Here is a 17,870-nt window from a genome sequence, read left to right on the forward strand (position 1 = left end):
GTAGGACATTCACATTTAATAGCCTTTCTCCAGGGACTGACTTTTTAATTAGTATTATGACTAACAAGGGACTGAAAAGAAGCCATCCTACTGTCCTCATGGTTAGCACTTGTAAGTTCATTTTATATTTAATTAACTTTTCATGGGTAAAAAGAAGAGAGAAATGGTTGTATTTAAGGACAATGCCTAATTAGAAATGAATGACTAGGAAGTGGTTTGTGATATGCTGGAAGAGAAGGAGCATTGCATTTACAGGGAGAATGTCTGAGATATATTCCTGCCTCTGTCACTTATTAATTATGTGACCTTAGGCAAAACAACTGTGTTCTCACCTAGGAAATGAGAATAATTATTCCTGCCTAGGTAAAATAACCTGTTACTAAAGTGAAATGTGAAACTCTTCCTGAAAGTGTAAAGTACTCTAAAACCCTAAGGTATTATTGTCATGAAATAATATTTCTCTAGTACTTGGGCTATATTAACATTTTATGAAAATAAACTTGGGGTATGAAAAAAATAGACTTTTTTATTTAAAAATACTGTCTTTTTGATTGAATTATTTGGGTTCTGTTTGCCTCTTCTGACCTTATTAGCGTAACTTGACATATATGCTTGCTCTGAACATGTGTAGCTATTTCAGAGTCCTTTCACTTGTGGGGCCCAGTCCTATGAAAGTGTGCTCAAGTACCAAGGTTCTCTTAGTTATGAGAAGAGGCTTGATCTCAGAAGTTGCAGTGCAAAGGAAGGGAAGCACTTAAAATGCAGCAATGGTCAAATCAATTCTTTGAAATAAACTAAACAAATTGAGGTATGATTATACTCCAGCGTGATATTATGTGCTTTAGTCACTGCATCAACTCTCTGCAGGCTACTCAAAATGTAGGTTAAGGCTTAGAGGTGTTCATAACTCATTGTTGAAGGTGAGATTTTATCCCGGGTATCTAAAGCTGATATGACCCTGCTGCCTCTCATAAAGACCATTAGAAGAAATATCAGAAATAGATGAGAAAAGTTTTCAATTTTTTAAAAAAGATAGCTCATTATTATATATCAGTGAAAGCTTAGTTGCTGCTTAGATTTGGGTGTTGTTGTTCTCATTGTCACCATCATCATCACCATTGTCATCATCACATTGATTGCATCACATTGAGAGCCTTCATCAGGTACTCTGCTAAGCATTTTCTATGCTTTATATTGCTTCATTATGAATGACAACCTTTATTCTACCAATCATAATAAGATGTACATTTTTTTACACGTTTTTCAAATGAAGAAACAACAGAGCCTTAGAGAATTTCAGTCACTTATACTAGATGACAGAAATTTGAATTCACATTTCTCTGACATCAAATTCTGACCTTGTAACCCTTGTGCTTCAGTGGAAAGGCCACTGTGTTATAGGAAAGACTAACTCTACCCATTCTAGCTCTGCGACTTTGTGAAAATCGTCTTCTGTTTGCACTGCAAGTTCCTTATTTCTAACCTGGGGTTAATAATAATGCTTTCCATAGTTCGTGATGTTGTTGCCTTTTTGATTGTGTTTTCTTAAACAAGACTGGTAACCTTTTTTTAATGTCTTCCATATTGCAATCTGTCTTTTGTCTTCTATTGTATATTATTGATATTTTTATCTTTTTAGTTACCTTCATTTATTTGCAAGTCCCCTCAAGTCAATTTGGAAGTAGATGGAATATTAATAAATGTACAAAATAGAGTTAAAATATATTATGGGATAATAAATTAATTCTAGTTGTAAGGGAATGTGCATTATAGAAAAATAGAATATAAAAGAGTATGAGTCAGTGATTCAGGTTAAATCTACCACAGAGATGAATTCTAATAAACTTAAATCAGTAAATGTAAGTAGAGGCAAAAAAATCCCATTCAAAATTTGAATTTTTAAGGTGAAATTATTTTAATAAAATGTTAATATTACATTTCTTCTAGCAAAGGAAAGCAATACAATAGTTTAATTTGCAATATAGGTTTGAAATAGAGGCATGTTACCAATTTGGAAAATAAGCTTCTAGAACCATCTCAGGTAAAGTGGTTACAGAGAAAAGGAATTTGTGAACTTAAGGAGGGGAGATATATTTCTTTCTTTATGCAGTATATAAATTACAAGTAAACAATACCAATTGTAAGAACTTGAAGTTGGATTCTGCTGTGAGAAAAATAAATGTGAAAATCCATAATTTTATTATTGGAAAAGGCTTTCCAGAAATTCTTTTTTCTTTTTCATTGTAGATATAGAGAGCCTAGACTTGGGGTAAATAGCTTGCACATGGTCACACAGTGCTAAAATTGACTGGATAAGCCTAGGTTTTATGTCTCATATCTAGTACTCTTCAAAGTCAAGGTTATTGGTTCAGCCTAGATAACTTAGTGGTAGAAATGTCTTTTAAAAGATGTCCCAGTGTCTTATTTCATTTCTTTAGATCCAGATCCATCAGATTTGCTAATCTGGGGGCAAGAAGAAAACACGATATGTTTGTCTTGGAAACTATCAGAAGGAGGGTTTGAAAAGTTTCAGGTAAAGAACACTGCTGCTCTCATACCATCTTGATGTTTATCCAGGTCTTTATTTCACTCCTTTTTTTTTGTCCTTCATTTTACATTAATGGTTTTAGAAATTATTGTGCCACTTTGTTAATGTAGGATTTCTCCCCCAAGTATTTCTTGTATTTACTTCTTTAAAAGTACATAGTTGTTATGGAAAGTATTTAAATATGTGTAAAACTGATATCTGATTTTCGATGAGTTGGTTTTTTTGGTGGACATAAACAAGTACATATGTAGTACCAAGGAAGTGAATAAAGGAGTGGTGGTGCTGGAGGATAATGCTCCTGTAACAGCACTGGCTGGCAAAAAGACTCCAGTAGTCACAGCCACGTGATGTGCCACATGCTCTTTCAGTCCCATCCTAGAGATTTAATTGGGTGGAGACTTTTAGCCTAAATAGCACTTTCCAACTGTGTCTGTTATTCATCAGGTAAATATGTACATTTTCATTGCCTTTTTGTTAATAATGTAATCTGGCAGTGGGCATGAGGACAAATTATACTCGCTCTACATCTTATGGTTTGCAAATGGAAATGCTTCTAGTACAGCATTATTGCTTGGTAGTCTGTGGGAGCAATAAACATTTCCAGTGGTAGTCTGTGGGAGCAATAAACATTTCCAGTGGTAGGAGATGGTAACTTTAGTTGCAAATAACATAAAACAACCTAAAATAGTTTAAGCAATAAAGAAAAAAATATTAATACAAGAGTCCCTTATGAAGACCAATAGAACCGGATGTTGGAAAGAATTGGAATCAGCTATTTCAAGGTCATTGAGAACCCAGGGATTATTTTCTTTTTGTCTGGCTACTTCTTTCTGCTTATTGGCCTTATTATTATTTTTTTTTTCTGAAGACCAACTTTGTCTGCTGAGCAATCCATGTGGTGAGTAGAAGAATGCCATACACAACTTCCAAGCACAAATGGGCACCAAGAAAGATAATTTCTCCCTAAATTCCCAAAGAAGGGAATGTAATTATCCCAGGTTGGAATAGAAAGCCAATCCAGATCCAGTGAAACAAAACAAATGGAGTTGGCCTCTATTATCATGCTTACCATTTAAGATTTGAAGAAATAAGCAACAGGAAATTTTTTTTTAATGAATGAGGGCATTATGTATGCCTATAGACTTAGTTGAATGATTTTGAGAACAAAAACAGTTTTATTCATTTGAAAAATTCAACATTCAAATTCAAAAAATTCATTCCTTCAACAATTTCTTGTTCTCATTGTGCTTATATTCTAAAGAACTAGAGGAAGTTAGATCAAGCCTCTTAATATCTTTATCCTTGGGAAGAGCAGATAACTCTCTTTCCCTAAAACCAAAAGGAAGGAGTACTATTTGTTAAAGATCTGGTTGATTCATCAATGTAAATTTCAAAAGGGAACAATCTTAAACGAATACCTTCTTCAGTCACCAAGTATTATCAATTCTACTATTGCAATGTAAATTCCATTTGGCTCTGCAGGGTCCTCAGAACACCAAACTCTCTAAAAATTCTCTAACAATGTAAAATAATGGCATCTGTGCAGCATGTAAGGTCATTAAAGTCTATATTATAGAGAACATAAGGACACACATATCTTAAATTTTTACTAGATTCACATATATTAACTTCAATCAGTTTTGTTTTTTCAGGAGAAGAAAAATTCAATTTTTTTCAGGAGAATAATTTAGCTCTTAGTGATATACTTGCATGTAATATTCTGGTAATAAATTTGATAATACAAGTTTCTTTACAAAACAGATATCCTATTTTGTTTTGCCCAGCATTCTGAGAGTTCAAAAGATAAGGAACATTTATTAGTATGGACAAATGTGAAATTCATTTGAACACCAAATATGTGTTCTAGTGATTAATTCCCTGAAAGTATTAGATTGCTGGCTTTCTTTTCATGAGTGATGGGAGTGCGGAGATTTTTTTTTTTTTTTTTTTTTTATGAGACGGAGTCTCGCTCTGTCGCCCAGGCTGAAGTGCAGTGGCGCGATCTCGGCTCACTGTAAGCTCCGCCTCCCGGATTCACGCCATTCTCCTGCCTCAGCCTCCCGAGTAGCTGGGACTACAGGCGCGTGCCAAGAGATTTATATCCTTTAAAAGAATCTCAGAACTGGCTGAGTGTGGTAGCTCATGCCTGCAATCCCTACACTTTGGGAGGCCGAGGTGGGCAGATCACCTGAGGTCAGGAATTCGAGACCAGCCTGGCTAACATGGTGAAACCCCATCTCTACAGAAATGCAAAAAAAAAAAAAAAAAAAAAAAAAAAGCCGGGCATGGTAGCACGTGCCTGTAATCCCAGCTACTCAGGAAGCTGAGGCAGGAGAATCGCTTGAACCTGGGAGGAGGAGTTTGCAGTGAGCCTAGATCATGCCACTGCACTCCAGTCTTGGCCTGGGAAACAAGAGCAAAACTCCGCTTCAAAAAAAAAAAAAAAAAAAAGGAATCTCAGAATTGTAATGGAACTGAAGGCATAGTCTAGTCCAAGCATGAAAATAAACATTGGCTTGCATATTTCAGACCCAAAAGAATTCATTGTGAATTTAGAAAACATAAGGTAGTTGACATAGAATATTTATGAAAGTTTGCCATTTTCTTTCTTATACCTTTCAGCTGTTTTTTATGAGCCTTGAGTATATTTTTATTATAGGCAGCACTGTCCAATAGAAATACAGTATTAAGGGAACCACAAAAGTGAAGCATATGTGTACAATTTAAAATTTCTAGTAGAAATATTTTAAAAAGTAAAAAAGTGAAATTAATTTTAGTAATATATTTTATTTACCTCAATATATTCAAAATGTTAACATGTAACCAGTATAAGAAGCATTAATGAGATATTTTTATATCACTTTTTCATACAAATTCTCCAAAATCTAGTGTCTGTTTTATACTTAGAACACATCTCAGTTGAGACTAAACACATTTTAAATATGGGGAGGGATAGCATTAGGAGATATACCTAATGTAAATGATGAGTTAATGGGTGCAGCACACCAACATGGCACATGTATACATATGTAACAAACCTGCACATTGTGCACATGTACCCTAGAACTTAAAGTATAATAAAAAAATAAATAATAGAGACAGGTGGCAAGTGGCTATCATATTGGACAGCATAGTTACAGAGAGTGACTATTGTCATCTGGATTAAATGATAAAGTGGAAGAATGGCAAAAATTGGCCCATCGGTGTCCGGCTCAAATCCCACTTCTTCCTAGATGCCTCTCTGATCCCATCTGCAGGGAATGACATTTTCTTACACAGAGCTTTTTATGAAACCTCCCTTTAACTTTTTCTGTGTTACTTTTAACATACTGTCTTTGATTGTTATTAATGATGCACAAGTGCTAACATCCCTATGCCATTTCATCGAGGAATCTTTTAGTTTTCCCTAAGAGTGGAGTTCCAAAGTTACTATGTACTGAATAAAGCAGTATTTCCTTTTATTTGTCCACAGTTTCTTCCTTCCAGACCTCATGTGGTAGCCTTCTAATGCTATGCAATCTTATATACATGTGTACGTTCAGTTTATCTGTAATTTTACAAGTTGTGGTAGGCAGTATAGTACAATGGCCCTGCGATTCCTTGCTTTGAATTCTGACTTCATTCCCTACTCTGAGACCTTGGGCAAATCTTTATCCTCTTTGGTTCTATTCCTTCATCTGACAAATGAAGATTATTTTTATTACTCTATAAAATTGCTGTGAGAATTCCATAAGATAATGCACTTGGCAAATGCTCTGACATGCGAATTTGCTGTAGTCAGATGTTTTGTGTACTTTGGTCATTGTTATATACTATTCCTGAGACCAATGTGTGATGCATAGCAGGAGTCAATAAATATTTTGGTGCACGATAGGTTGAATTTTTAGTTTTCCTTTGTTCTTCAATCACTTGCTCAGCTGTCTTTGATTCCTCATATTCACTTATTCATCAATGTCTCAGCTATTTTGGCCATTTCTACCTCTGAAACAGCTTCTGAATGTGTTCACTTTTCTATGTCTCCTCTGCATTCCTCTTGTCATAGTCACTATCCTTTCTTTTTTTTCTTTTTCTTTTTTTTTTTTTTTTTGAGACAGAGTCTTGCTCTGTCACCCAGGCTGGAGTGCAGTGGTGCCATCTTGGCTCACTGCAACCTCCACCTCCCAGGTTCAAGTGATTCTCCTGCCTCAGCCTCCCGGGTACCTGGGACTACAAGCATGTGCCACCACACCCGGCTAATTTTTTGTGTTTTTAGTAGAGATGGGGTTTCACTATGTTGGCCAGGCTGGTCTCGAAATCCTGACCTCATGATCCGCCCGCCCTGGCCTCCCAAAGTGCTGGGATTACAGGCATGAGCCACCAAGCCCGGCCCATAGTCACTATCCTTTCTTACCAAGACCAGCAGCCTAGATGATGGATGATAGCATTTCTCCTCTTAACTGGTTTCTCTGTTTCCGTTTGTGATTTCCTTACAATTCATATAACATTGGTTGAACATCCTCTAGTGGATTTTCATTGCTCTTCAAATAAAATCTATGCTTGTCATAGTTTCCAAGATCTCACCTGATTGGATTTTTATCTAACTATCCAGCTCACTCAGTTACTATGTCTCAATCATATGTATCTCTCTCCTCCTCAAACATGCCAAGCACACCCACCCTACATGGTTTTAATGCTTGACATTCCCATTGTACGTGCATCTTCCCTCCAGTTTTGGTTAACCTTTTTCTGTCACTGAGTTCTCAGCTCGAATATAATCTCCCTATACCCTTCCCTGATTACCAAATCATACCAAAAGATGTGATTCATGCTCATGGAAAAGAGGTGAGGATATTCTACACTAACAAGGTCACAAAGTCAGGAATTAGTATTCTATTTGTCATTTGTAAATGTCATTCAGTGATAGGGGCATCCTGAATAATAAATCACTCATGAAAAATTCCATCCTTTCCAGAATGATTCAATTCATTCCTATATTCACTATAGGTATTCTGTAGTGAAAACCTTACACATTTTTAATATTAATTGTAAAAGATTTATGTTTCTTAACCTTTTCTGTTTGTTCTAATTCTTACATCTTAAGGCAAATGTCAAATGGAATGATCTTCTATGGGGTTAACTGAGGCCATAAAACCATTTTTTGTCAGTTAAATATATATACGATTACTTTTTACTCTATTTGAGCACATTTTTTCAGCGATATAAATTATGTATGTTATTAAGTGAAACTGATTTTAAGGAAACATATTAATCTTTAAGGTTCAGAATATTACTGACCACATTATATCACTAATGGTTATCTGAGTCTTTCTTGGCCAGTTAGATTATTTGTTAAATTTTAATGAATTAGGTAACAGTATCCTGGTTGCTTAGCAAAGCGCACTTGGATAATTGGGATCATTTCTCTAATCATTTAAAATTAATCATCACATGCCTCCAAAGTATGATTTAAAAGTGGAAATAAAACACAAATTACATTTCTATTAGGCATGTGTATTCTACATAATTTTTGGAGGGGATAATCCTCTATTTTTTGAATTACATATTAAAAAATTAGTCAAACACTATTATCATTAGATCACTACAGTTTCTTTTCCTTCTACCCTTCGGTAATGTCTTAATGTGACTATGCCTGAACTTAGCACTTCATTAAGATTATATTCTACTATAATTGCATGATATTTTCTCCTACCATCCTTTTTCATACCAGAAGTTCTTAGCATTCTACTCACTCCATATGTCAGACAAGTAAGGTAATTATCAGTGACACCTTATGAATCAATAAGCAATGGTATGCTTCTAGACCTCAGGATTATCTTCTTCATTAATGAAGCACTTTTCCCACAAGACAGTGATAACTATGTCTGCTTAGGAAATTTGTTTGACTTCTACCATATAATAGCTGTTTTTCAAAGCATAACAAAGTTTAAATAACTTATAAAATTGACGTATCTTTCTTTCCATTCTACAAACATGAAGTATGGAATGAAGAAGAATAAAGATTGTTATAAGTAGCTTTTAATGGATTAAAAAAAGCTCCAGGTTATTGGAAATATCAGATTACTCCACTGAAAATTTCTAAAGGCAATGCTCACTCTCAGAGCTTTAATGAATAATACATAGACTTGGCCTAGGTTATGATGAAAGATGGACCAGAATGAAATGTGAATTTATCATTTATTCACTAATTTATGCAACAAGAACTGGGAGTGCCTTTTCTATTTCAGGTGTCTATTATTGTAGTTCTCTCTCGTTGCTTTTTACTACTCCCCTGACTATACTGACTGGCTTTCACTGATATCTGATTAACAGTTCTTCAAACACTGGCTGTCTCCTGAGGCACATATGTGAGTTTTCTGGAGGACCTTGGAGGTTATTTCCATTGCCTATTTCCTTGACTTGGCAGACCCAGCTCTGGTTCAACATTTGTAACTCCTATTAGCTCCTTCATCTGGCATCATATCTCACTGGTTTTTGCTGCTAGGTCTTCTTGCACAGTGACAGTGATCTTGGGTTGGGTAATGGTAAGATGATCCAAGACTGATCACTCTCTGTTGTCATACTTGACCCATGGGAGACTCTGGCATTTTTGTTCAGGCAAAGGTGGGTGTACAAATTGCTCCACAGCAACACTTTATTTGTTCTGCTTTCTGTTTCTAGTTTCCCTTTGCTCTGCTCAGTAAGGAATAGGGGCAGAGCAGGAAGTCTGCTGCCTAAGTACCTGTCCAATTGAGAGATGTCAATCCTTCTAGCAGGCACTCTAGATGTATGGTAGTGATACACATGGGCCCCTCCTCATTTAGCTGGAGTCAGAATGTGTGCAGAAGCACCTTATTTCCCATTCTGTGGGCAGCCAAGGAAAAGCCATGATATTCTCTGCTAGGCCAGAAACTTGGGACCCCATTGATTTTCTTCTTTCCCTTCCTATAGTCTTCTGTTTACATGGAGTTGAGAGAGTAGGTCGTAGGTACTATCCATAATGATTAGCTATCTCTAAAATACATTTTTACATTTTTTTGTTTCAGGTGTGCAGAAGAGTAAGGCCTACTCTTTATGTAATGTATCTATTATATGCATATACACTTAAAAATCAGTATTTGTGTTTGTATGCGTATATATACATGTGAAATTTAAAAACACATGGAGTCTATTGGTCTTTTATTACATAAACTTCTAAGACAATCCACTATGCTTATCACTCTGTGAACTTCACTGAGTTATTCTGCCTCTACTAGCCTAAAATTATTCCTTAGTGAACATAGGAAGGATCACAACCTCTACCTTGTAGTAGTAATTACTATAAATATGATTATTACGGAATTAGTGCTTTTTAAACTTTGGAAAATATAAATTTACTTTTCTCTTTCTCTAGATATCATACTGCATGCCATCCAGACAGGAAAAGCTGATTAAAGTGATTGTTTATGGCAACAAAGCCAAAGTAAAAAAATTGACTCTGGGCATGGACTACATGTTTCAAGTGAAGAAAGTTAAAGGCAAAGGTTACAGTGTATCTGTAATGAAAAAAGTGCCTATAAGTAAGGAAAGATCATAGGTAGTATTTAGTTTTATAGTTCTGTAACACTTGAAAATATTTTGGCTAAGCATGATTATGGTTGTTTTAAGACATAAAAGCTGATAAGTAATGATGATCTTAAGAATATGATTAAGAGAACTCAAAAAACATGTGAATTTAAAAAATTATTTGTATGTCTAGATATATTGAGAGCTACACACAGAGTTTTTAAAAATAATCTGAAGCCAAAAGTATGCATATATGTGTGTATGTATATATTGTTATATATGTTAGATACATGGAATACATATGTATACACATGTATATATATTATGCCATAATAATATAAGCACAATTCATTTTCTACTGACCTGAGGGTTGATAAACAGAGTAATTCTGTTTCTCTTTCCTGAAGTTTGTAAATTTATTATAAATTGGTTTGTAATGTTTTTGGGTGAGGTGGAATAATAGTATTAGTTATCAACAGTTCTCATGAAAATTTGTGAGGTTGCCTCTCAGTGGAGACTAAATGATAATGCAAGTAGCAACATTAGTTGTATCGATGAACAGATTAAAAATGCAGCAATATAGGAATGCTAAAAGCTTTGATGTAACAAGAAGACATTTGGAAATGCCCTTACTCCTAGCCCTCGCTCCCTCTCTAACTTATTCTCTTTCATCTTCATTCGGCATCTAGCTATGTGCTTGGTGGTAGCTAACAAAATTCTGATTATGTCATATAAGGATATGTATGGCTACAAGCACTCAAGAGGCACAAAGCTAAAGGAATGCCTTTATCACGAATGATTTATGACTGATGAAGGAAAGATATTTGGGAACTAGAGAGAATATTGTTGTGTCACTTAAATTAAAACCCATATGTAATGTCTTATTTTTCTATTTGCAGAGATAAACATATAGAACATTATACATGAGTAAATTAAAGGACTGTTACATAGATATTTAAATTATAATATTCATAATTGCTTTATTTTTACTAATATATGTGTAATTTCTATTTATATATAATTTACCTTTTCATTAGAACCATCTAGGATTTGTGGCTTAATTTTGAAAGCTGTGAATATTTCTTCAAATTTAATGTGGAATACAACAGAGATCAATTTCACCCATTATAAGATTTATATATCAAATAGAACATTTGCAAAAGACTGTCTTATTTGGGAAGTGGTGACTGAGCACACAGTTACAGATGTGACTCCTGGTGTAATATATAACATCATGGTACACAGAATAAGAGGCAACCTTGGAGGATGTGGCATGTTTACCAGGGTTGTTGCAGGTGTGCAAATTCTCTTTGATATTTAAGAAATTCACATTTCTGTTATATATTGTATTGTTCAAGATAAAATTTCAATAGAATTTTTTGAAATTTGAAAACTTACAGTCTATAGACTATTTGAGAGGATGAAAATGCTCATTTTAGTGGGCTGTTCTGCAGATTTTTTTTTTTTTTTAATAAGACAGAGTTTTGCTCTTGTTGCCCAGGCTGGAGTGCAATGACGCGATCTCGGCTCACTGCAACTTCTGCCTCCCGGATTCAAGCAATTCTCCTGCCTCAGGCTCCTGAGTAGCTAGATTACAGGCACACACTACCACACCTGGCTAATTTTTGTATTTTTAGGAGAGACGGGGTTTCACCATGTTGGTCAGGCTGGTCTCAAACTCCTGACCTCAGGTGATCCACCCACCTTGGCCTCCCAAAGTGCTGGGATTACAGGCATGAACCACTGCGCGTGGCCTGTTCTGCAGATTTTCGACATAACATGTGAAATATAAATTGAATAAAACATTATTTGACACACAGTGATCAATAAATGAGGTTAATATTATATTCAGTTTCACACCGAATTAGAGATCTAGCCAGTGGAATTATGTGGTATATTTGGGATCATCTATTCTCCTAAAAATGTGTTCTTTGTCTTTGACATCCTAATATGTGTTATACACATGAAAAAGCATAGTCTTATGATATCCACAGCATAGTAAAGAATACAAGTATGGAAACACATGTAGTATAAGTCAGTGCAACAGGCGAAGCAATGGAAGTATGTCCAAACTTATTGTAGTTGCACAGAAGAGGGAAAGATTAGCCCTACAAACGCAATAGAGAAAGCTCTTTGGGGCTGGTAATGTCTGTAAAAGGATTAGGAATTTGCTAATCAGACTAGAGAGCATATGGAGTGTGTGAAAAGGAGGACTCCCAGAGGTAGGGAACAGCCCATGCAAAACTATGGAGGTGTAAATGAATATGCTGTATTTGTGGAACTATAAGCAATTCAATATTGAAATATTTTGTTGTTTTTTAATATATAAAGAGAATAAAATCCTATCCTGAGTAATTTAGAGAGTAATTTTTAAATCCAAAGGAAGCTGTGAAGCCTATGAATATTTTAAATTTTTCAAAAAAGAACAAGATTGCAAGAGTAACACATGAGAATTACTCTTAAGTGATCTTGAAAGCTATGGATTGGACAACCGACCCGAAGGTCCCAGACATATGGTGGTAATTCAGGGTATGGGTAATTATTATTTGGCTGTCAACACTTTCTTAGTTTCTTATTTTTACTGTAGCAAATTATCACAAGATAGTGGCTTAAAATAACTCAAATGTGTTATCTCATAGTTCTGTAGGTCATAAGTCCAACATACTTCTCTCTGGTTGAATCAAGGTTCTCGTAGGGCTGTGTTCCTTTTTGGAGATTCTAGGAGAGAATAAGTTCCTTGCTCATTCAAGTAGTTTGCAGAATTCAGTTCCTTGTGGTTGCAGAACTGAGGTCATTATTTCCATGGTGGCTGTCAGCTGACAGTTGTTTCCAGATTTTAGAGGATGGCTCATTCCTCGACTTGTGATCCTCTTCCTACACCCAATAAAGGAGGGTTGAGTGCCACTCGGGCTTCAAAGCTCCCCTTTCCCCCCATCATATATGACTCTTCTGACTTCCTCTTTTACTTTTATGGGCTGTTATGATTAGATCGGGACTACCAGGATAATCCAGTTTTGATCTCTGTTTATAGTTTATAATCTTAATTCCATCTGCAAAGTGCCTTTTGCCATGTAACACAACATATTCACCGTTCCAGGGTTTAGCATTTGGGCATCTTTTGTGGGGGTGGGCCTTACTTATACTGCTTAACACATACACTATTATTCTCCTAAATGTGATATATATGTGATAATGCAAAACAAGGAATAAATTTAGAATTCATATACCAGCTTTACTCCAGGATTTGACACTGGTTAGCTGAGTACTACTGGGCAAGTTACCTGATGTCTTTGGGTATCAAGTTTCTGAGAAATTTAAATTAGATGACCTCTGAGATTCCTTTTGACTCATACACATTCTCCTAACACTTTGCACATTTTTGTTCTATTTCTACAGATAATCTATGACTTACAATGCCACAATTTTTCTACTTTACAATGATGCAGAAGCAATATGCATTCGGTACACTCCTCAACTTACATTGGGGTTACATCTGATAAACCCAGCATAGGTGGAAAATGTCACATCAATTATGATGGGTTATCAGGATATAACCCCATTGTAAGTTGAGGAGTATCTGTGTATATTAATAGATACTATATACCTTATCTACTTCTAAAAAGCAAATGTGTTAAATCATGTGTCAAATGTCTTTTACTACAGAGTATTATGATAGGTAATGTATACAATCGAACACACTAAAATGGGACCCATTCTAGAGGTTTTAGTCTGTGGCAGCGTTTCTCAGCCTCACCACTATTGATATTTTGGGCTGAGAGATTCTCCTTTGTGAGGATGTGTCTTGTTAATTGCAGGATGTTTAGCAGCATCCCTGGCCTCTACTCACCAGATGCTAGTAGGATCTTTCCAATTGAGCCAATCAAAATTTTTGTTAGAAAATTGCTGCAAGTCCCCTATGTGGCAAATCACAACTAGTGGTAAATGCAGATATATTTAGTTAGATACAAAGATCAAATAGATCATTGAGCAAAGACTGAAGAAAAAATATGAAAAATTATTTTGTTTATACATAGGTAAAGGAAAGAGTGCAGTTAGTGTGAGTGGCAGGATTTGCTCCCTTAGAGAAAATTTTGTCAGAGGAAAAAGTGACCAAGGTGGTATCAATATCAGGAAAGTTTCATAAAAGATACAGAATGTTTGTTTTCATTTTACTTAAAGAAAAGAGAGCTTTATAAAATAGTAGGAACTTGATGTTCTGGTCGCCTAGTGTGGTTTAGGTGATGGTTTTGAGAGATTGCAGGTAAGTAATTGAAGTCCCTGTTAAAACAGCACAGTGACTTAAGAGATGAGTATAAGAAGAGGAAATGGGAAAAGATGGTAATCTGGGTTCCCTGGTGGAGGTCTCCAGAGCAGGAAGACATCTTGCTGTCCTAGTTTTTATAAACAGAAGAGCAGTGATGATGGAGCAGTGCTTGGGGATCCATTTTGAGCAAAGCATTGAGTGGATATGAGGAGGGGGCTAAGCTGAGAAATGAAGAACAGGTAACATGATGGTTTGACTAAGAGATGACCAGGGCTTTTAGAGAAAAATAGTAGAAATAGCAAGAGACTATTAATCATAGCTTACATTTAGTACTTAGTTCTTACTATGTTCAAGGCAGTCTTCTAAGCACTTCACATGTATTAACTTATTTTATTTTCACAACAATGTGTGAGGTGTTATTATACCCATAGAGATGAGGCTGGTGAGGTATGGAGATATTAAGTATTTTGCTTAAAGTCTTGTTTATATGGCAGAGTCAGGATTTGAACCCAGCAATCCAACTCTAGGGCCTGTGCCCAGTGTCTGTATTAAAAATTGATTTTTACACCCTGGTGACATCCGATATAATGCTGACTTTTTAGAGGATGTTTATTTTATTTATAATTTATTCATAGCCTATTTCTAAAATATGAGGAAGCTACAGGCACTTGATAAGTATACATTGCCCTGGTATGGGACATATTTAGACTGAATCCCTTAAGCCAAAATTAGAGGTCACTTCAAATAATAATCATAGGCTTGAAAGAAAAATTATAGATCATCTAATTTTGTGGTTGAATCTATTTTAAAGTATTAATTAATTCATTTAGGATTTTTAAACCAGCTGTTATTTGTAAGCCACTTTGTGAAAGTTAGAGGAGCACACAGTTATCATAGTGATTGAAAACTTGAAGACTTTGCCTCTGGGTCTAAATCCTGGCTCTACCATTTACCCATTAGCTATGGGACCTGTTGGAATTACTTAAATTCTTTGTTCCTCACTTTTAAATGTCAATAATAGTATTCCTGGTGTTGTTGCAAGTGTTACATAAAACAATATATGAAAGTGCTTAGCACAGTGCATAGTGTGTCATAAACTTAGTAGGAGTTAGTTCTTTTTATTTTGTAAGTCTGCTGCTTGTACATCTCATTATCTGTCATAGAATACATTATGTCCGATCTATAATTTAATCACAGAAAAATTAAAATGTGAGATTTAAAACTTATCAGATACAGTGTTAGTGCAGAGAAAATATAAAGTTAACAATGATGATGAAACTTTTAAAGTCTTAGCATTTTATTTTAAAATATCTGCCCATTGTAGTCTTTTGCTTTCTTGATACCATTTTGATAGGTCTGACTCTTTTTTAATGTTCTGAGATATGTAAGATTTTGTATATATTGGATGTCTTCCCAACTCTGTTGAGCTGTTTCCTTTATAGACAAAGACCATGGGATCTTATTTCTCAGCTTCTCAAAATAAAATTTAGGTAAATTCACTGAAATGCCAAGGAAAAACTTAAGAGATGCTGTAGTAGTTAAAGCTGTACTGTCCAATATGTAGTGTTTGGCAGCATGTGGCTATTTAATCTTGGAATATGGCCAGTCCAAATTCAGAGGTACTGTAAATTTAAAATGTATGTGAAATTTCAAAGAGTTAGTATGAAAAAAATTAATGTAACCACTTCAATAATTTTATAGTAATTATATGTGAAATAATGCTTTTGATATATTGGGTTAAATAAAATACATTATTAAAATTATCTTACATGTTTCTGTTTACTTTTTAAATGTGGCTACTAGAAAATTCAAAACTGCATGTGTGGCTCACGTTATAGTTTTATTGGACATTGATGGTTTAGAGAATCACAAGATATATTAGGATATCTGAGGCTTTAAAATACACTGCAATAAAGAAAGCTGCTTAACTTAAAAAGAACTTATTTGACAAAGTGGTTTGATTACAGAACATCTATTAAGCTCTAATGATATAAGGTTCTGAGGATTAATTTTTAGGAAATTAAAGTCTGGAAGAAACACGTAAATAAACCTAGAATTCCTTTTGCTTGCCCTAATTAAGTTGAATATGAAATGTTTTTTTTCCTCTTAAAACTCCAAACATTTCAACTTCCCAATGTTATTTTTATTGGTTAGTAAGAATTAGGTTGAGAATAGTATTTTTGTTTTTTGGTTTCCTATTTTTTGAGAGATTAAATTCCATGGAGAATAAATTATATATTTATTATGGAGTCTATTTTCAGTTAGTTGAACCTTCTAGCTCTTAACCAGAAAGCTGCACTCTTTCATAATGATTTAAGCATTGCTGTAGATCCTCTACCTTTTTCTGAGTGCAAGCTTTCCTCCTCTCGGCCTAGACTACCATGATTTCCTACTAATTAGCTTCCTGCTGCCATTTTTGCCTTGCTCTAATTTATATCCCATATTTCAAAATTATATTTTTAAACAAAAAACAAGCCCTGTTGCTTTCCTGCTTAAAATTCTTCAGTGGCTTCCCATTGAATTTAGGTAAAAAACCCTAAAATCTCTAGTATGACCTACATGATCATCAGTCTGTTCCCCTTTCTTTTTTGATCCCAGAATCTCAGTCTGGCTTTCCTCAGTTACTCCAATCCTTTTTCATTTCCAGGACTTCCATACACTTTGCTATTTGGAAAGGCCTTTACCAAACTCTTGTGAAGATTCCAGGCCTTCCCTCTTGATCAGATTGGCAATTGTCCAGACCAATATATTTTTCTTTGTCTTGGTGAGACATAGTTCATTCCTAAGCAAGGGTTCTTCAGTCCAGGAAACCACATCCCATTTCACTGCCATCCCAGTAACTAGTGCTTCACTTCTCACATCTTCCTTTTTCTTCCAAAGTCTTATTCCATATCTTCATTAGTTTCTTGTCTAAGACTTCATAGATACTAGTTACTCTCTGGGGTCCCTGAAGCAATAGTATTAACCCTCACACAAATCAGTAAATGTGAGTAGTAGTTGGTTAGACGGATCAGTCATGGTAGATTTTTGTGTATTTTAATGTAGCAGATAGGAGATTCAAGCTTTTTTTCTCTCAAGCTTGAGAATACAGAGGGCATAGGTCTGGCTTACCTTGTAAAAAATGCCAGCAGCTAACAATGAAATTCTACCCAACACAGGCTGGGTATTTCTCTGATTTTTTGCCTTGGGTTTACAGTATTCCTAGAGTTACCAGAAAACTATAGTGGACAATTAGCGGTGGATGCCAAGAGAATGCTTGGAACTTTGAGAATGTTGGGGTGGACATTAATCAATTGATATAAGCTTTGGGTATGGAGGACAACGTTATGTTATAATCATTAGAAGAAATTTCAAAGGCGATAAAGAAAAACTATTTCAGAAACGCTCTTCCCTGAAACACCAAGAAAGTGACCTATTATGTTAATATTTTTGTTATATGCAATGTGCCCTGTTAGTTTTGTTAGAAAATGTACATTTTATTATATCCATTTTCAAATCGTTTCTGGTAGTGGGGTTTTAAAATGATAAATGAGGTTC

Source organism: Homo sapiens, chromosome 12 (genome assembly GCF_000001405.40).
Source record: "Homo sapiens chromosome 12, GRCh38.p14 Primary Assembly".
NCBI lineage: Eukaryota > Metazoa > Chordata > Mammalia > Primates > Hominidae > Homo > Homo sapiens.